We start from the raw sequence: 21,199 nt of genomic DNA, 5'->3' as shown, positions 1-21,199 counted from the left end.
GCCTTAATATTATTGGTTTAAATTTTTCAGTGGATTGTCTTATATTTCTAATAGAGAGAGTCTTGTCATTTGTAAATAGTAAATGTTACTTTTAAAAAATTTATATTGCCTTGCTGGGCATGGTGGCTCATGCCTGTAATCCCAGCACTTTGGGAAACCGAGGTGGGTGGATCACTTGAGGCCGGAGTTCAAGACCAACCTGGCCAACATGGCAACCCTGTCTCTACTAAAATACAAAATTTAGCCAGGTGTGGTGGTGTGTGCCAGTAATCCCAAGTATTTGGGAGGCTGAGGCAAAGAATCCCAGAGGCAGAGGTTGCAGTGAGCCAAGATGGTGCCACTGCACTCCAGCCTGGGTGACAGAGTGAGATTCTCTCTCTCAAAAAAAAAAAATTATATTGCCTTGGTGTAGTAGCTCACACCTGTAATTCCAGCACTTTGGGAGGTCAAGGTGGAAGGATCACTTGGACCCAGAAGTTTAAGACCAACCCGGACAACACAGGGAGACTCTGTCTGTATGAAAAGTAAAAATTAACTGGGCTGGCCTCCCAGCTACTCTGGAGGCCGAGGTGGGAGGATCACTTGAGCCTGGGAGGTTGAGGCTGCAGAGAGCCAAGATCGTGTTGCCACACTCCAGCTTGGGCAATAAAACGAGATCCTGTCTCAAAAAAAAAAAACCCAAAAATTATATTGCCTTGTATTATCTAGAATTTTTAGAATACTGTCAAATGACAGAACATAGTATACATTTTAGAAGTCTTAGCTTTGTGATTTAGTGTTTCATTTTTAGTATATTAGCTATTGCTTTCTGACAGATACCAGTTATCATGTTAACAGAATTTCTTTCTTTTCTTGTTTATTGAGAGATTTCATCAGGAATGAATAGAATTTTATCAAATGCCCTTCTAGCATTTAGCCATTAATCATATGGCTTTTCTACTCAAACCAAAAATCTGTTTGCATTTTCTCTATCAGTTGTCAGAATAATGATGAATTTTTCCCTTAACATCCTTTAAAGGAGATCAGTGATTTTTAAAGTATTATTATGAATAAAATGAAACATTACTATATTTAATCGGTTTGAATCCAATGCAGTTATTATTCTTTTTGATGCTCAAATTTTCTCATCTTAGGCTACTAGGAGCCCATTCTGGATGTTTTCTTTGCCCTTCTGACAAGGCCCCGTGATCTTTGATAGCTTCTCTGTTTTCTGGTGCGATAAAATGTTATAGGCTTATCTTGTGCATTTCCTGCCCCAGACCTGCAGTCAGCCATTTATTTCCCCAAGGAGTCTGGGTTCCTTTTATGGGAAATAGTATTTATGCCATAACCGCTTTTTTACCTCACCTTCAAACAGACTAACAGTTTTTGTTTAATGAAATCTAGAATACCTTTAGATTTACAGAAAACTTGGGAAGGTGGTAGAGTCCCCACATGCCCACACCCAGTTTCCCCTGTTCAAGCAAACTTTTGAGTTATTGAAACACTCTTAAATTTACAATGATAGAAAATTCTTCGTGTCCCCAGTACACAGCTTCAGAAGTTAATCAACTCCAGTCTTTTGTCATATATGTCCCCACCTACTTCCCCCAAATTATTTGAAAGGAAACTCCATATATTGTATAATTTTATACATAAATACTCAATCTTATGACTGTAAGGATAGAAATAATCTTAACCAAGCAATTTACTTAATTTATGTTAAACCATTCTTATATTGGTAGATTACACTGTATTGGGTGCATTGAGGACTTTTATGTCTACACTCACAGGAAACATTGATGTGTTAATATTGGTTTGTAAATTGTGTTACACAAAGACTTCTTATGGTCCATGTTGATAAATGAGAAAGAATGTATGGTATACTAGGCCCGCCATTTCATAGGCTTTTGCCTAAAAGTTTGGTTGGATAGGGTGGACTTCTCCCTGCTGAAGTTTGAAAACCAATAATTTGCATGTTTTTTGAATTTCATGTTTTGTGTTCAGCATTTTTCTATATTTGTCTTCTAACACGTATGTATTTTACTCCCTGGCTTTTATTCTCTTGAACAGTTTAAGGAACAGAATTCCATCCTTTCCTTGAAAGCTTGGTGGAATTTATTCATGAAGCTGTCTTGTTTGGGTAGATGTTTTTGGATGTGGAGGGAGGGCAAGACAATATACCTCTTCTTGAATCAGATGGAGTAATTTGTATTTTTCTAGGAAACCACTTTTATCTGTATTTAAGTTATTAGAATATATAGTTGCATGCACTATTTTCTTTGTTTAAAGAAATTTGTTTAGTTTTTTTTTTTTCATTTATAAGACCATACGTTTGTTTACTTTCCCTTTTGTGGATCTGACTTCACTGCATTTTGCTTTCTAATTAATTTTTTTTTTTTTTTTTTTTGCTTTTTTCTTTTTATCCTGTAATGCTTCCCCAGCCCTTTTGGTTTATTTTATTATTACTTTTTTGCTTCCTTAATTGACTACTTTATTTTAAATCTCTGTTGTATAATAATAGAAGCATTTAGGGAGATGTTTTCCCTGAATTTGGAATGTAGCATTTTTTTTATTGTTTCTCTTAATAGTTGATTTTCAATTTGATTTCTTTAACCTAGGAGTTATTGTAATCATTATCTTGTAAGGGAGAAACCCATTAGTCTCTCAAATAAAAGTGGATTTAATTATAGGGATTACATGATTTCACCAGGAATACAGGACCAGGAACTGGGGCCTCCAATGACCTTTGAAAAGAGTAAGCAGTATCTTTCTGGCTTGCCACATAGTTCCTCTTATGTATGGCATTAGCTTGGTCACTCTTTTTTGAGGGATTATGTTAATCTGGCAGTTTTTCTTTATTCCTACTTATAAATGAAGATGTAGATGATTATTATTCTTTTTTGAGATGGAGTCTCACTCTGTCACCCAGGCTGGAGTGCAGTAGTGTGATCTCCGCTCACCGCAACCACCACTTCCCGGGTTCAAGCATTTCTCCTGCCTCAGCCTCCCTAGTAGCTGGAATTACAGGTGCGAGACACCACACCCGGCTAATTTTTGTATTTTTAGTAGAGACAGGGTTTTGCCTTTTTGGCCTGGCTGTTCTTCAACTCCTGACCTCAGATGATCCGCCCGCTTTGGCCTCCCGAAGTGCTGGGGTTACAGGTGTGAGCCACCGTGTCCGTCCTGAGGTAGATTATTTTAATATTGTAGCTGGAGTAGGCAATATTAATAATGCAGTTTGTCAGTTGCCCTCAGCAGCTTCTCGTCTTCTCCTGTATTATATACATCATAGCAGATGGGGAATCTACAGAGTTCTTATTGACCTTTACCATGATTTCTAACCTTATTAGCACTTCCCCAAATTCTAGGCCGTTATTGCAGCTTCTGTCTCATGTTTTAGAATTGAAGAGCAATCTCAGGGAAATATTTTTATTCACTGGTGATTACATGTAACTGTCATGTATACCTGTTTGATGAGGTATTTTTTTTTTTTTTTTCCGAGATGGAGTTTCCCTCTCGTTGCCTAGGCTGGAGTGCAATGGTATGGTCTCGACTCACTGCATCCTCCGCCTCCCGGTTTCAAGCGATTCTCCTGCCTCATCCTCCTGAGTAGCTGGGATTACAGGCACCTGCCACCATGCCTGGCTAATTTTTTTGTATTTTTAGTAGAGACGGGGTTTCACCGTGTTGGTCAGGCTGGTCTCAAACTCCTGACCTCAAGTGATCCACCCACCTCAGCCTCCCAAAGTGCTGGGATTACAGGTATGAGCCACCGCGCCCAGCCTAATGAGGTATTTTCTACCTAATGAGGTAGCACCTTCAGCTTGCCTTCATCTTTGTATGTAGTGTTTCAATTATATAATATCCCAGCTTTAAAATTTTTAATAATTTTGTGTTTATTTTCATTTGATAAAGGAACAAGGTTGACTTAAAACTCTGGTCTTAATTTATGTTAGTTTTTGTTTAGAATTTAGATTACGTATCTTTTTACACAATTAATTATGCCAACACATTTCTCTGTAGGGAAATTCGTCTGTAGGAATAACAGTTTTAACTGAAGTGGGCTGACTTGGGAGCCTTTGAGAGTTAGCGCAGTGGAGTGGAAAAACCGCTTGGAAAAAATTAGACTAAAGATACCAACATCAGAGGTTGGTGGAGAAAAACAACTGAAATCCATTCTTGGTAGTGTTCATAGCAGGCTAACCTTAACCCCCATGTGGGCTCTGGTGACCCTCTCTACTCACCACACCCACTCACTGTGGGGGAAGGGCCTGAAACTTGGTGAAAGACTAAGTTAAGAAAAAATAGGTATTACTCCTAGAGGAAGTGGGATCTGGTAAGATTTGCCAAACAACATATTTGTAGAATTTTACTTAGTAAGCTGCTTTGAGATTATTTTATCAGTAAGTGCTAAATAAAGGAAAGGGATTTTTGATTTTTGCTTTTTGAGATGGGGTCTCACTCTGTCGCCCAGGTTGGAGTGCAGTGGCTCAGTCTTGGCTCACTGCAACTTCCACCTCCTGGGTTGAAGAAATTCTCCTGCCTCAGCCTCCCGAGTAGCAGGGACTACAGGTGTGTACCACCAAGCCTGGCTAATTTTTGTAATTTTAGTAGAGACGGGGTTTCACCATGTTGGTCAGGCTGGTCTTGAACTCCTGACCTCAAATGATCCACCCGCCTTGCCTCCCAGAGTGCTGAGATTATAAGCGTGAGCCACTGTGCCTGGCCAAGGAGAGGGATTTTTTTGGGGGGTGTTTGTTATTTTAAAATAGAAATTGATGACCAGAGGGATGAAATGACTTTCCCAGGGTCCAAAGTCTTGGTGCTTGGGCTTGAACCACAACTGCTGATTGCTGGCTTGAAGTTTTTCACAGGGCCCTGTTGACTTAATTACCTTTGGCTATGTGTCCAGCAATACTTTATCTTTGCAGCATTTTGTAATGCAAAGACTGTCCCATCTGCTGTTCAGAATTCTGTGATTCCGCATTCATAGTCTAAGCTCTTATCTCTTTCTTACTTTTTGTTTGTCTATTTACAACAGCCCATAGAGCCAGTTGCATTAACATCCTTTGCCAAATAATGTTATCACTGGAAATATGAGATATGAGACCTCCTAGAAATTCCTCTGAGAGTCAAGCTTAGGTAGGATGACTTTGTGCTTTGTTTTGTCATTTCTGTAAAATAGCTTCCCTTAAAATGAAGAATATCTGACAATAAGTATAAGGAGTGAAGCAAAGTAGTGAATTCTGAGTTAGAAAAAATCAGTTATGTTTTATCTGTGTGATTGCCTTTTTTAGTATTAGTGTTCCACAATCAATTGAAGTATTTACTAAGATTGAGGGAAAGATGCATCGTATTACTTGCTTGGGTAAACCCTTCCCAAGAAGCTGTTGTCTTCTGTTTAATGCATGAGATGTTGAGTAAGCTGTGACTGGTTTGTTATGAGATAGGCCAAAAGTTTTCTTGTTTTCCTTCTTTGTTGTCTGCACTGTAGAGGTAACACACATTGTGGTATGTGTTCTATTAGAGTATGATTTAGAGCTACCACAGTGTGGTAGCTAGTGGCCACATGTGGCTCTTAAGCACTTGAAATGTGGTTAGTCCAAATTTAGATGTATTGTAAGTGTAAAATATACACCAGATATTGAAGACTTAGTATAAAAAAAATCCCACTGACACTTTAAAAAATGATTATTTTTAAATTACAAAAATTGATTGCATGTTGAGATGAAAAGATAGTTTTGATATATTGGGTTAAATAACTATGTTAATGTAAATTATCATTATTATTATTATTATTTTTGAGACAGTCTTAATATTGCCTAGGCTGGAATATGGTGGTGTGATCACAGTTCACTGTAGCCTCAAATTCCTGGGCTCAAGTGATCCTCTCGCCTCAGTCTCCTGAGTGGCTTGGACCACAGGCACACACACCACCATGGCTGGCTAATTTTTAAATTTTTGTGGAGACGGGGTGTTAGTATGTTGTCCAGTGTGGTCTCGAACTCCTGGGCTCAAGTGATCCTCTTGTGTTGGCCTCCAAAAGCACTGGGATTATAGGTGTGAGCCACTGTTCCTGGCCTAAATTAGTTTTTTTAATGTGACTACTAGGAGGTTTAATGTGTGTCTTCTATTAATTTGTGTTGGACAGCACTGAATTAGAGTATAAAATGGCTTGCCAGGATTACAATTTAATATTCTCTCACTTGTACATTATGAAATATAGAGACATATATAGTACACAAAGTACAGTTATGACAGTGTATATGGATTACTTTGGCATATTTAAATCTGTTTGCATTTTAGTAAACTAGCAAGTATTTATACCAACAAGTATTTAAAAACCATATAGGGTTTTAAACAGTTGCTTCTGGGCCGTCCCTGAGACTTAAAAAGTACAGAGCAACTGCCCCACATTTCCACTATACTGATGAGACAAGCAGGTTGAAAAGGAATCCCAAGTGACTGTGGAGTGTGTAGCACGGGCTGGGTTGGGGGAGTGATGAGGATGGGATGGGACACCAAACCACAGGTAGTTCTCCTGGGTAGGTTTCTGACAGGGCTTTGGTCAGCTCCAGGTGTTCTTCCTCTTTCTTGCTAGATGATGCATGTGTGGTATCTGACCCAAGTGTGATTTGCCTCTGAGTTCAGAATTGACTGGAAATCACTAAGTAGGTGGATTCCTGAGGCTGCAAGGGGTTAAAAATATTCATTAAGTTTTGCTGAAAAAATAGAAGGTGTGATGTGAAGCTGCAACTGCTTATAACCTTTGTTTTACGCCCAAGCACAAGCCAGTAGAGTAGTGTGGAGGAAATGTTGCCCTTTAAGATTGATGACTGCTCATTTCCTTGCTCTTCAAAGGTCTTTTTCTCATTTGGATACCCAGCTGGGAATTTCAGTTGTTTTAGAAGTTTGACTGCTAAATAAGATGTATGTGATTTTTTAGCTTTAATATTTTAAAATATCTTTATTATGTTGTTTGTTTGTTAATGTTTGAATTGGGGTAAAAAATTCATTGCATTTTGGATCACAGTTCTGACTTGATTTTTATGGATTTACTACTCAGCATCAAAAGTTACACATCTAACATTGTGAAAATCTGATTTTTTGTTTGGTTAATTGGCGATAATTCTGTAACAAACATTACATTGTATATTGGGAGGGGTTGGTTTTGAAAAGGAGTATATTCATTGGTGATAGATTTTATAGTCATAAAGCAAATAACTGTTTGCATTAGAGCATAATCAGATAATGAAGTGGTTAGTAGAAACCAATAGACTATAGATTACCAAAATTAAGATCTTGTACAACAAAATATAATTAACACCGTAACTTGAATGTAATTTTTACGGGATTGTCTTATGAATGGTAATGATTCTAAGTGGTATGTGAAATGCTGTTACTAGCACATGCCAATTGATAGAATGCTGGAAAAATCACATTTTACATTATATTTTAGATAGGATTTTTGTATGCTTGAGGGTGACTTGGCTTATGTTTTTTTTTCTTTCCTTTTAGAATATGGTTTCTAGTTTTAGGGTTTCTGAACTACAAGTATTACTAGGCTTTGCTGGACGGAATAAAAGTGGACGCAAGCATGACCTCCTGATGAGGGCGCTGCATTTATTGAAGAGCGGCTGCAGCCCTGCGGTTCAGATTAAAATCCGAGAATTGTATAGACGCCGATATCCACGAACTCTTGAAGGACTTTCTGATTTATCCACAATCAAATCATCGGTTTTCAGTTTGGATGGTGGCTCATCACCTGTAGAACCTGACTTGGCCGTGGCTGGAATCCACTCGTTGCCTTCCACTTCAGTTACACCTCACTCACCATCCTCTCCTGTTGGTTCTGTGCTGCTTCAAGATACTAAGCCCACATTTGAGATGCAGCAGCCATCTCCCCCAATTCCTCCTGTCCATCCTGATGTGCAGTTAAAAAATCTGCCCTTTTATGATGTCCTTGATGTTCTCATCAAGCCCACGAGTTTAGGTAAGTGTTTGAGAATTCAGTTTCTTCTGAACAAGATAGTAAATGAAATGAGAGACCTTCAACTATTGATTAATGATGTGCTGTTAATATAGTGAAATTGAGGCATCAATGCCGAATGTTTGAATATACGGATAAAAATTCGGCAACCATGACTGAAATCTAATAGAAGCTTTATTTCATATCATTTGATCTTTCTTCTTCTCCAATTCTTTTATTGTAAAATACACATAATATAAAATGTATCATCTTGATCATTTTAAAGTGTACAGTTGAGTGGTGTTAAGTATGTTGGTAATGTTGTGCAGCCATCACTGCCATCCATCTCCAGAACTCTTTTCATCTTCTGAAGCTGAAACTCTGTACCCATTAAACAATAGCCTTCCTCTCCTCCTCTCCCACTAGCCCCTGGCAGTTACCATTCTACTTCCACTGTCTATGATTTTGACTATTCCAAGTACCTCATGTCGTTGGAATCATACAGTATTTGTCTTGTGACTGGCTTATTTCACTAAATGTAATGTCCTCAAGGTTCTAGCATGCTGTAGTTTATGTTAGAATTTCTTTCCTTTTAAAGGCTAAATAATACAATAGTATACATTTTTAAAGAAAAATAGTAATCTTTTGCTCACTCCACTACTCATCCCTCAATCTCACTTTCAAGAGGCAACAACCTTAATTATTTTAGCTGTTTCTTCTGGTTTTACTTCTATATTTCTGTGTTATAGGATACCACATTTTGCTTATCCATTGGACACTTGGGTTGCTCCCACATTTTAGCTATTGCGAATAATTCTGTGGACACGGGTATACACGTATCTCTTTGAGACCCTGCTTTTCAATTCTTCTGGCTGTATACCCACAAGTGGAATTGCTGGATCACATAGTCATTCTGTTTTTAGTATTTTGAGGCATCACCATACTGTTTTCCGTGGCAGCTGCATTTTACATTCCCTTCAACAGTGCACAAGGGTTCCAGTTTCTCCACATCCTTAACAACACTTTTATTTTCCTTTTTTTTTTATAGTGGCCATTATAATGGGTGTCAGGTGGTATCTTATTGTAGCTTTGATTTGCATGTCTGTAATGATGGTGATATTGTGCATTTTCATGTGCTTTTTGGCCATTTATGTATCTTTCAAGAAATGTATAGCCAAGTCTCTTGCCCATTTTTGAATTGGTTTGTTTTATTGTTGTTGAGTTTTAGGAGTTCTCTGTATATTCTGGATATAATCCCTTATCAGATATATGAATGTGCAAATATTTTCTCCCACTCTGTGGTTTGCCTTTTTTACTCTGTTGATAGTGTCTTTTGATGTACAACTTAACATTTTTTCATGAAATTCCAATTTGTTTATTTTTTGTTGTTGTTGCCTATGCCTTTGGTGTCATATCCAAGAAATCATTGCTAAACTTCATGCTGTGAAGGTTTTGCCCTGTGTTTTCCTTTAAGAATTTTATAGTTTTAGGTCTTACATTTAAGCCTGATCTCTTTTGAGTTAATTTTCGTATATGGTATTAGGTGAGTGTCCAGCTTTGTTCTTTTGTTTGTGGATATCCAGTTTTTCCCCACCATTTGTTGAAAAGCCTGTCCTTTCCCTCACTGAATGATCTTAGCACCCTTGTCAAAAAGTATTTGACCATGTATGTGAGGTTTTATTTCCAGGTTCTCTGTTCCAAGGTCTCCAACCCTCAGGCCGTGGACTAGCACCAGTCCACAGCCTGTTAGAAACCAGGTCGCACAGCGGGAGGTGAGCAGCAGGAGGTGAGCAGCAGGAATTCGAGCATTACAGCCTGAGCTCCACCTCCTGTCAGATCAGCAGTGGCATTAGATTCTCATAGGTGCAGGAACCCTACTGTGAACTGTGCATGTAAGGGATCTAGATTGCATGCTCCTTACGAGAATCTAATGCCTGATGATCTGAGGTGGAACAGTTTCATCCAGAAACCATTCCCCTGGCCTGTGGGAAAATTGTCTGCCATGAAACTGGTCCTGGCCAAAAAGGTTGTGACTGTTGATTTATTCCATTGGTCTAGATGTCTGTCTTTATGCCAGTATCACAGTTTTGATTACCGTAGCTATGTAATATGTCTTGGAATCAGGAAGAGTGAATTCTCCAGCTTTAATTATTTTGTAAGATTGTTTTGGCTATTTGGGGCCCTTGAGATTCCACGTGAATTTTAGAATGAGTTTTTCTATTTCTGATAAAAAAAAAAAATTGGGATTTTGAGAGGAATTGTAGTGAATCTGTAAATTTGTTTGGGTAGTATTGATATCTTAGCAATATTAAGTCTTTCTTTTCCCACATAGGCTGATGGGGAAAAAAAAAATTAAGTCTTCCAGTACATGAACATGAGCTGTGTTTCTATTTATTTATGTGTTCTTTAATATCTTTCAGCAATGTTTTATAGTTGTTATTGTACAGGTTTTCATTTTCGTGGTTAATTTTGAAATATTTTTTCTTTTTGATACTATTGTAAAAACTACATAATTTCCTTTTCATCATATTTATTATTAGTTTATAAAAATGCAATTGATTTTTGCGTGTTGACTTTGTATTCTGCTACTTTACTGAATTCATTTATTCTAACAGGTTTTTTGTGTGAAATCTTTAAGGTTTACTGTATATAAGAGCCTACCATCTGTGAACAGGAATAATTTTACTTCTTTCTTTTCTGTTTGTATGCCTTTTATTTCTTTTTCTTGCTTAGTTGCTCTGGCTAGAACTTACTCAAGCATTCTTATGGTGTAGAAATCAGATTGCTTCCGTGTGAATGGGAATAGATACAAATCTTATTTATTGATCCTGATTTTGTATTTTGATACTTTTCATATTTTTATAAAGGGACTTACTTTCCATTTAATGTAGCTTTTAAACTGATTTTCTAAGAAATAAACCTTTTATATTTAATTTTATTTCTAAAGTGGCACAGGGAGTTTGACATGCAGTTTTTTAGCTTTTATTTAATGCCCATCAATTGCTTACAATGTGACTAACAAATTTTTGCATTGCTGTGTTATAATTCTTACTGCCTAATGAAGTTATTTACAAATATATTTGAATTTCTTTATGAAATAAATTGGGAAGTAACATTTCATAGTTGATGTGGAAGATTGCTTTCTTTTCTTTCTTGGGAAAACCCTTTTTATTTTCAGTCATGTGAAAACACTTAAACATATCAGTGTGCTTTTTTACCTGTCTTACAGGATTGTACTGCAGCCTGTCTTGGTTAAATCGGAAGGTTTTGAGGGGTAGAGCTAGTTAGTGGGGTTAGTATGGCCTGACTAGTGGCAGGCAATGTGGCTATTTTTTTTTTTTTTTCAATTTTTTGCTTTTTGCTTTATTTATGTTTTAGCAAAACTGGTGATCCAAGCAAGTGGAGTATTGCATTTTATCTCTTTATTACGTTCACTTTGAAATAAGGATTGAGTGTTTGTTCATGTTTTATTATTTGTTTGTACAAAGTCCTATGAGTAGAATTATTGGATCAAGTAAAAAGAACGTTTTAGACTCTTGATAACATATTGCCAAATTATTTTAGTGCCAGTTTAAATTCCACAAGCAAAGTGAGAGAATGCTTGTCATATCTCATTACTTTTTGCCTTTACTGGGTGCTATTGAAAACAGATCTCTGTGATTTTTAGATGAAAACTTGTATCTTGCTTAAATTTTTATTTTTAAAATTAGTAACAGGAGCAAGTATTTTATTTTATTCGATTTTATTTGTTTTTTTTTGGAGGGGGGGGACAGAGTCTTGTTCTGTCGCCCAGGATGGAGGGCGGTGGCGCTGTCTCGGCTCACTGCGGCCTCCACTTCCCCGGGTTCAAGCAGTTCTCCTCTCTCAGCCTCCCGAGTAGCTGAGGCTACAGGCATGTGCCACCACACCGGGCTAATTTTGTATTTTTAGTAGAGATGGGGTTTCGTTACGTTGGCCAGGCTGGTCTTGAACTTCTGACCTGAGGTGATCCACCCGCCTTGGCCTCCCAAAGTGCTGGGATTACAGGTGTGATCCACTGCACCTGGCCAACAAGAGCAAGTATTTTAAATGCTTATTACCCGGTTGTCTGTCTTTTATGATTTTACTTTCATCTTTAGCCTTGTTTTTAAAGAGTTGATTTATCTGGTTAACGTATTTCCCTAATTTGTTTTCTAATTCCTCCTTTATCATGGCATTTGGACAGTATCATGCACAATGTCGTGGTTCATTTATATATTCTGTCCCAGCAGTTATTATAAATTTATTACTTAAAAAAATTTTTTTTCCTTATCTATGTTGAAGGACTAGCAAATTTATTACTTTCTATTATTCTGAGAAAGATTCAGACTAGTGATATGGCTTGGGTAGCCCTGCTTCATGAGGCCCCTCAGGAATGTGGCTAAGCACAGGACAGAGAGGATAAGAGGGTCTGTAGGGTAGTGGTTACAGTGGAATGTGTTTTAGAGACATGGACAGAAGACTGGGGGGGACTAAGTGAAGATGCTGTAGTAGGCTTTTGCTCAGTGGTACTCCAAGAGGGAGACATGGGAGAGGCCTTGTCCTTTTCTCTTTCCTTACCTTCCTGCTTTTTTCACAAATAGAACTAGAAATTTTCTTACTTTGCTCTGTTCATCACAGAGTTTCTCTTTTATTAACCTCAGTAAAGTTAAATAGTATGCTCTTTATAAATTTACTAAAATAAAACTTTTCATATTTGGTGTTCAAAACTATCTCATTTGGCTTAGATAAAATAATGCCAGAGATATTTTGTTTAGAAGAGTAACTAAACTCCCTGCATTTTGGTCGTAGCTTCAGTTAGAATGCCAGAAATACACGTATCCTCATGGCTTATACACTTTCTACCCTTGAACTAAAAACAATGTTTTTCAGGAATCCTACCTATCACTGTTTTTTTTTTTTGAGACGGAGTCTCGCTCTGTCACCCAGGCTGGAGTGCAGTGGCGCGAAAAACAGACATGAGGTCAAAAATGTCATTCCAGAACCTCTTGGGATTTTGAAACCAGTAGCTGTATGTCAAAAAACCATAATGAGTATATGCTCTTTTTTTTCTTTTTTTTTTTTTGAGATGGAGTCTTGCACTGTCACCAGGGCTGGAGTGCAGTCACATGATCTTGGCTAGCTGCAACCTCCGCCTCCCAAGTTCAAGCAATTCTCCTTGCCTCAGCCTCCCAAGTAACTGGGATTACAGGCACCCGCCACCACGCCCAGCTAATTTTTTTTGTATTTTTAATAGAGACGGGGTTTCACTATGTTGGCCAGGTTCGTCTCGAACTCCTGACCTCGTGGTCTGCCCACTTCAGCCTCCCAGACTGCTGGGATTACTGGCATGACCCACTGCCTGTGGCCCATAATGAGTATATTCTATTTAAGAAGATACATTAGTATATTGTTTTGCAGCTTGGGGTTATTTCTATTCAAAAGGGTTGATATAAAATTTTTTTTATCACTTGAAGTGAAAAATTGTGGTATCTTGAAAACATGAGTGTATACAATAATACTAAATAAAGTGCTCTGTAGCTAAGGTTCTACTGTTAACAAAATGGATAATCCCCTAATCTAAAAACAAACTAGCAAAAATCTCCATTTTCTTTCCTTAAATAACCATCCTGATGTGCTCTCACAGGCAGTCTTGATTTCCTCTTCAATTTTTTAAGTTTTTTTTTTTTTGAGACAGATTTGCTCTTGTAGCCCAGGCTAGAGTGCAATGGCACGGTCTCAGCTCACCGCAACCTCTGCCTCCTGGGTTCAAGCGATTCTCCTGCCTCAGCCTCCCGAGTAGCTGGGATTACAGGCATGTGCCACCACGCCCGGCTAATTTATTATATTTTTAGTAGAGACAGGGTTTCTTCATGTTGGTCAGGCTGGTCTCAAACTCCTGACCTCAAGTGATCTGCCTGCCTTGGCCTCACAAAGTGCTGGGATTACAGGCGTGAGCCACGGCACCTGGCAAGATAATTTTTAAAAAACATGAGGCCAGGTGCGGTGGCTCACATCTGTAATCCCAACACTTTTGGGAGGCCGAGGTGGGCGGATCACGAGGTCAGGAGATGGAGACTATCCTGGCTAACATGGTGAAACCCCGACTCTACTAAAAACACAAAAAATTAGCCGGCGTGGTGGCGGGCACCTGTAGTCCCAGCTACTCGGGAGGCTGAGGCAGGAGAATGGCGTGAATCTGGGAGGCGGAGCTTGCAGTGAGCCTAGATCGAGCCACTGCACTCTGGCCTGGGTGACAGAGTGAGACTCTGTCTCAAAAAAAAATAAAAAATAAATAAATAAAACATGAGATCCTTTGGGAATTTTCTGTTTTAAAAATTTGTCTGTATTCTATCTGTATAAAGGAATATGTATATAAAACATGTTAAGTTATAAAGATTCAAGGGAATGAACACCTGTGAAGCTGCTACTTTCTGAAAAAGGAACATTACCATATCTTTAAAGCCCTCTCTTTTCTGAGTTAAATCACTATCCTGGATTTGTGTTTCTCTTGTTTGCTTATTTCATCATATATGTGTATTTGTAAAAAAAAGTTTAGTTAGCTTGCTTCTGAAATTTATATAAGGTATTCCTTTTGTTTTTGTTCTTTTTATAAGGTCTTGCTCTTTCATTCAGGCTGGAGTACAGTGGCATCACTGCACCCTCTACCTCTCAGGTTCAAGTGATCCTCCCACCTCAGGCCTTCCAAGTTGCTGGGACCCACAGGTGTATACCACCACACCTGACTGATTTTAATTTATTTATTATTTATTGAGAGAGGGTCACTTAATTGCCCAGGTTAGAGTGTACAATCTTGGCTCACTTCAGCCTCAACCTCCTGGGCTGAAGCAATCCTCCTACCTAGGCTTCCTGAGTAGCTGTGACTACAGGCATGCACCACCATGCTTGGCTAATTTTTTTGTATTTTTTTGTAGATATGAGATTTTGCTATGTTGCCCAGGCTGGTCTTGAACTCCTGGGGTCAAGAGAGCTGCCTGCCTCAGCTTCCCAAAGTGCTGGGATTAAAATGCATGAGCCATTCTGCCAGGCTTTGATTTTTTTTATTTGTGGAGAGGAGGTCTCTCTATGTTGTCCAGGCTGGTCTTGAACTCCTGAGGTCAAGCTATCCTTCTGCCCCGGCCCCCCAAAGTGCTGGGATTACAGGCATGAGCCACTGCGCTTGGCACTATATAATTATATTCTTATATGTATTCTTCTGTGACTCTTTGTTCGCTGTTTATATGCATCATAAATGTTGATATGTCTGGCTGGCTGGTGTTATGTGAAATACCTTCAAAGTTTTATGAACCTTTGATTCCTTAATTTCTTCATTGTTCTTTTCAGATTACAAAAGTAGTTAATATTTGGAATCAAAAATCATAAGAAAGGGACAGTCCTTCGTAATCTCATTCATTGCTCAGCTAGAGTCATATCAAGTTTATTTTTTCTCCGCTTGTGTTATGTTAATGCTTTTTCTCTTCTCTCTTTTTGTTTTTTTTTTTTTCTTTTGAGACGGAGTCTCCCTCTGTCGCCCAGGCTGCAGTGCAGTGGTGTGATCTTGGCTCACTGCAACCTCTGCTTCCCGGGTTCAAGCGATTTTTTTTTTCCTGCCGCAGCCTCCCCAATAGCTGGGATTCTAGGCACCCGCCACCAGGCCTGGCTAATTTTTGTATTTTTAGTAGAGACAGGGTTTCACCATGTTGTCCAGGCTGGTCTCTTAAAACCTTTTCCAACTGCAGAGTGTCTGGTTGAGGGAGTGGGGGCACTATTCTGTTTGTAATATCTGTGAATAGTGTTCCCTAGAGTTTTGCACCGTGACAATCTTTCTTAACAGTATTTCCTGGAAATTTATTACAGCAGATTTATTGCAGTAGTTCTATTATCTTATAGATGTACCGTAACTTACCCAGTACTTTTTTGATGTACATCTTCAATGGGCTTTCACTGTTTATTCATTCAGAAGTATTTTTGTGTATAGCATGTATCAGGCACTATTCTTGCAGTTTTACAGACATTGCAGCTATGAACAACTTTTGCATATATTTCTGAATACTTGTACACATATATATGAAGGATAAATGCCCGGATGTGAAGTTGTTGGGTCAAAATATGAATATTTTATATTTTGATATTCACCTTTAGAGGGAAATTCGACAGTAGCTTCCACAGCATTGCACCAATTTGTAGTCCATTTGTGTGTGTGGAGGTACTGTTTTCCCTATACACTCATCAGCATTGTATTGTTGGTCTTTTAATTTTTGCTAATCTGAAAGGTGAAAAATTAATAAGAATCAATCTCTTTTTATCCTTAAATTCTTGAACATTAGGACACACTCATTAAGCTTTTGGATATGATTAAACAGTATTCAAATGATATGCACATTAATGTTAAAGCCATTAAAATATAATATTCTAATTTACTGTATATATTATTTTTATTAACTCAGTTAATAAGTATATAATAAGGACTTAATTTGGATATGGCTATGTAGTCTTCCCCCACCGCCACCGAGACAAAGTCTTGTTCTGTCACCCAGGCTGGAATGCAGTGGCGGGATCTTGGCTCACTGCAACCTCTGCCTCCTGGGTTCAAGTGATTCTCCTGCCTCAGCCTCCCGAGTAGCTGGGATTACAGGCATGTGTCACCATGCCCAGCTAATTTTTGTATTCTTAGTAGAGACAGGGTTTCACCATGTCGGCCAGGCTGGTCTGGAACTCTTGACCTCGTGATCTGCCTGCCTTGGCCTCCCAAAGTGCTGGGATTACAGGCGTGAGCCACCGTGCCCGGTGTCTGTGTATTCTTAATTGTGGAGAAGCCAGAAGTATGAGATGGGCTTTAAGGTGTTTGTTACACAGTTAGGGAGGTAATGTTCACATTCGAAATAAGTAGCAAGTAGATAGGTGTTTGCATGATGAAGCACTGTCAGTTGTACATCTAAAGGTCAGTTACTGCATTGGCCTAATGAATGGAGAATTCAGTCAAGGCTTCTTGTAGTGAGACTTGAGGGAGCTTTGAAGGATGAATGCGCCTACTTTGGATTGGCAGAGTTTGTAGGAGAAGAAATGCCAAGAAAGGGGAGAACTGTGAGTGGTCACAGAAATAGAAAATAAAATGGTTTATTTTAGAAATAAATAGAATAAAATACAATTGCATCTATATAGCAATATTCAGTTTTTTACAAATACAGTTTTCACTTATCACTGCTTTAAATTATAATCCCATTACATACACCAAAGTTTTTCTAATTTAATCAGATTTATTTAATCAGAATAAAATAGAAAATAAAATGGTACACACCCACAGGTAGAGTAAGCCCTTTGAACTGAGTAAGCCCTGGAGGGGGCTTGAAGAAATGTAGGTTTGCTAGGAAAGAGCCTGGGGTCGTTCAGAGATAGGACGTTGGTGAGCATTTTGAGCAGAGGAAGGGGGTTGAAAGTAATAAGGTGGACTAACTCCACACTGGTGGGAGACTGGCAGGAGTTGGGGCTGCTGTTTCATTTGAAGAAGGTTATAATAGGCTTTCAGTAGGGTGGTGGTAGTGAAAATGGAGAGGAAGCATCACTGGTGATTATTAATAAAATGATAATTTCTGTATAGATAAATCACCTACAAATAACTCAGTTTTGCTATGTTCTATTTAAATCTGATTAAATTAGAAAAACTTTGCTGTATATAATGGGATTATAATTTAAAGCAGTGTTCAGTGAAAACTGTATTTGTAAACAATTGGATATTGCTATATAGATGCAGTTGTAAAGTGTTTCTTGAAAGCATTGTGTGTGCCTGTTAGTTCCAACATGTCAAGACACAGGTTATCAAAAATGAGCTAGTTTGCTAATATAGAAGAGAGCCTGTATTGACTTTATGTATTTCTTCTGTTACAACTGTATGAGAATGTTCTTTTTGTGTGTGTATTTTTATTTCTACATGTTTGAGGGTCAGCCCCTATTTATTTTTGAAGAAATTTAAATTTTTTGTCCCAATTTTTAAAAATTATTTTTTACTTTTTTAGTAGACGGGGGTCTCACTGTGTTGCCCAGGCTGGAGTGCAGTGGTTATTCACAGGCATGATCATTGTGCACTGCATCCTTGAACTCTTGGCCTCAAGTGAACCTCCTGCCTCAGCCTCCTGAGTAGCTGGGACTATAGGTATGTGTCACTGTAAGTGTGTGTCACTGTACCTTGCCCTGCCCAGTTGTTTTGTTTTGTTTTGTTTTTTTTGAGACAGGGTCTCTCTGTCTCTCACCCAGGCAGGGTATAGTTGTGAGATCACAGCTCACTGCAGCCTAACCTTCTGTGCTTAAGTGATCCTCCTAAGTAGCTGGGACCACAGGTGTGCACCACCATGCCCAGCTAATTTTTACATTTTTTTTGTAGAGACCAGGTCTTGCCATCTTCCCTAGGCTGGTCAGGAACTCCTGGGCTCAAGGGATCCTCCCGTCTCGGCCTTCCAAAGTGCTGGGATTATAGGCATGAACCACTGTCCCCATCCCCAATTTTTTTTTTTTTTTTTTTTACTGTGGTAAAATACATACTGTCTGACCATTTTAAAATCCAGTGGCATGAAGTATATTAATATTGTTGGAACCATCGCTGCCATCTATCTCCAGAGAACCCTTTTCATCTTGCAAAACTGAAACTCTATATGCATTTAACAGTAATTCACTATTCCCTCTTCCCCCAGCTCCTGGCAACCACCATCTTGCTTTCTAAGATTCTGACTACTCTAGATTTCTCATATAAGTAGAATCATACTTATATGTCTTATTATTTGACTTACGTGTCATATTATCTGTCTTCTTGTGATTGGCTTATTTCACTAAACGTAATGTCCTCAAGGTTTGTCCATGTTATAACATGTCAGATTTTTTTTCCTTTTTAAGGCATAGTAATATTCTATTGTATGTATACATGGTGTTTTATTCATTTATTCTCCAATGGACACTTGGATTGCTTCCACATTTTAGCTATTGTGAATGATGCTGCTATGACTGTGAGTATACAAACATCTCTTCAAGATTCTGTTTTTTAATTCTTATGAGTATACACCCAGAAGTGAAATTGCGGGATCGTATGGTAATTCTATTTTTAATTATTTGAGGAACCACTAAACTGTTTTCCACAGCAGCTGCACCATTTTACATTCCCCACCAGCAGTGCACAGGGGTTCCAGTTTCTCCCTGTCCTCATCTGCACTTACTATTATTACTATTTTTTTTTATAGTGACCATCCTGATGGGTGTGAGGTGGCATTGCATTATAGTTTTGATTTGCATTTCTTTAATGATTAGTGATGTTGAGCATGTTTTCATGTGCATATTTGCCATTTGTATGTACTTGGAGAAATGTCTATCCAAGTCCTTTGTCCATTTTTGAATTGAGTTGTTTTTAGCTGTTGAGTTTTAGAAGTCCTGCTCCTACCCTACTCCCTTTTATTTTAGTGCAGCATTGCAGTGGGAGAAGACATTCTTTAGTTGGTGATGATACAGTAGCTGGTAGGTGATGAGAACCGGATAGCTCAGGATCTTAGAAAATGCAGAGTAATTAAACTGATTCATTCATTGTTACTTTATGAATTATTTTACTGTTAGATTGGCTAGACTGAGCCATTTTAATCCACAAAACTCCCTAAAAAACCTCTTGGTTTATCTTTTCCCTATGTTAGCCATAGTATGAGCCCCTGTTAACCTTGGCAGTAACCGCTAGGAAGCATTCTTGTTTTTGTTTTTGTTTTTTATAGACGGAGTCTTGCTCTGGTTGCCCAGGCTGGAGTGCAGTGGTGTGATCTCCGCTCACTGCAAACTCTGCCTCCCGGGTTCTAGTGATTCTGCTACCGCAGTCTCCTGAGTAGCTGGGCTTACAGGCATGGGCCACCATATCTGGCTAATTTTGTATTTTTATTAGAGACGGGGTTTCGCCATGTTGGCCAGGCTGGTCTCGAACTCCTGACCTCAGGTGATCCGCCCACCTTGGCCTCCCAAAGTGCTGGGATTACAGGAGTGACCCACTGCACCTAGCCTAGGAAGCATTTTTACTGAAATATAAACCAGTTTATTAAAAGGTGTCAATATAGTGCTTGCAGGGGGTGATGGTGGGGGATGACTTGGCAGGTTTTATATTAAGTATATTTAACATTTAGGCACATTAAAATATTAATTTTTGACCTAAATGTCTTATCAAGATAAAGTCAATGTTACAAAGTAGGTGACAAAATATATCTGTTGAACTGCTTGTTTTTTCCTGAAATTTTGGTATCTTAAAAAGCATAGACTTTTGATGAGGACTTCCACAAGTGAAAATATATTACATGTATAGTATCTTACTGTTTTCAGAATGCTTTCACATGTTCCTGCATTTAGTCCACAAAACCATCTTAAAAAGGCAGGTGAGAAAAGTGTTACTTCCATTTGAAATGAGGTGTAGAGAGACTTGTAAATTTCCTAAATAACTTGGATAGTAACCAGTAGGGCTAAGGCTAGGATATAGGACTGTTATATTCTGGTCTAGTTAAGTTTAAAAATTTATAAAGAGGAAAAAGGGATCCATAGATTTAGAGCTGTCATAACTATTATACCAGTAGCCTACTCATTTAGTAATTATAAATGAATCTGAATACTTGGAATTGATAAGATTATGCCAAAATTCATGAAATTGTGGCATTATTTCATTTACTGTTGCTGTATAATATAGTCTTCCAAAACATAGTGGTGTAAAGCAGGTATTTTATTATGCTTGTTAGAAACAAGAGCTCGGAGTCATAAGGAAAATGAGTACTCAAACGAAGGATTTCTCAGCAAGGCAAATTTACTTCTGCAAAAGGGTGCTGCTTGCACTTTTGGCCACTGCGAGAGCACACCAAACAAAGTAGGGAAGGGGTTTTTATCCCTAACGCGGTTATTCCCTGGTTCTGTGTCGTGTCCCCATTGGCTGGAGTCAGACTGCACAATCTACACTGACCCAACTGGCTACTGTTTAAAATTGAATATGAATAATTAGGTAGGAAGGGGGAGGCTGTTTGTTACGGTACAAGACGTGTTTGGGCATGTCAGGGCGCGGCAAAGGCAGGAAGGGTAGTTTTGATGGGAAGAGCTGTTTCGGCGGGAGGGGCAGTTTACAGAATGGGTGGTCAGGAGTGAAGAGGACGCTTTCCAAATAAGGAAGAGATGTGACTTACAGATTGGGACTCGCAGGAGAAGTTGTTTACAGAGCAGGTAGCTTAGAAGAAGAGACAAGGAAGTTGATCTCGAGAA

The 21,199-nt window shown here is 38.6% G+C and overlaps 1 protein-coding gene across 30 annotated transcripts in view; it reads left to right on the top strand.

Annotated features, from left to right (window-relative positions):
• The window catches only part of PIAS2 (protein inhibitor of activated STAT 2), a 116,928-nt gene that overhangs the window by 21,591 nt on the left and 74,138 nt on the right, over positions 1 to 21,199 (top strand). For 24 of the 30 annotated variants that reach the window (NR_136684.2, NR_148702.2, NR_148700.2 and 21 more), the window contains one exon: positions 7,501 to 7,975. The exons of 1 other annotated variant lie outside the window; for it this stretch is intronic. Coding sequence is in view for 23 of the 29 variants with exons in the window: in NM_004671.5 (NP_004662.2) it covers positions 7,501 to 7,975 (475 nt within the window). In the remaining 6 variants the exon portion in view is untranslated. Of the gene's footprint in view, positions 1 to 3,484; positions 3,745 to 5,023; positions 5,125 to 7,500; positions 7,976 to 21,199 lie in introns of all 30 variants that reach the window. 5 more of the 30 variants (NM_001354035.2, NM_001354038.2, NM_001324052.2 and 2 more) reach the window with 2 other exon arrangements.

Source organism: Homo sapiens, chromosome 18 (genome assembly GCF_000001405.40).
Source record: "Homo sapiens chromosome 18, GRCh38.p14 Primary Assembly".
In the NCBI taxonomy this organism is placed as follows: Eukaryota; Metazoa; Chordata; class Mammalia; order Primates; family Hominidae; genus Homo; species Homo sapiens.
Note: the sequence above shows the minus strand (reverse complement) of the source record. Positions and strands in the feature narration are given on the sequence as shown.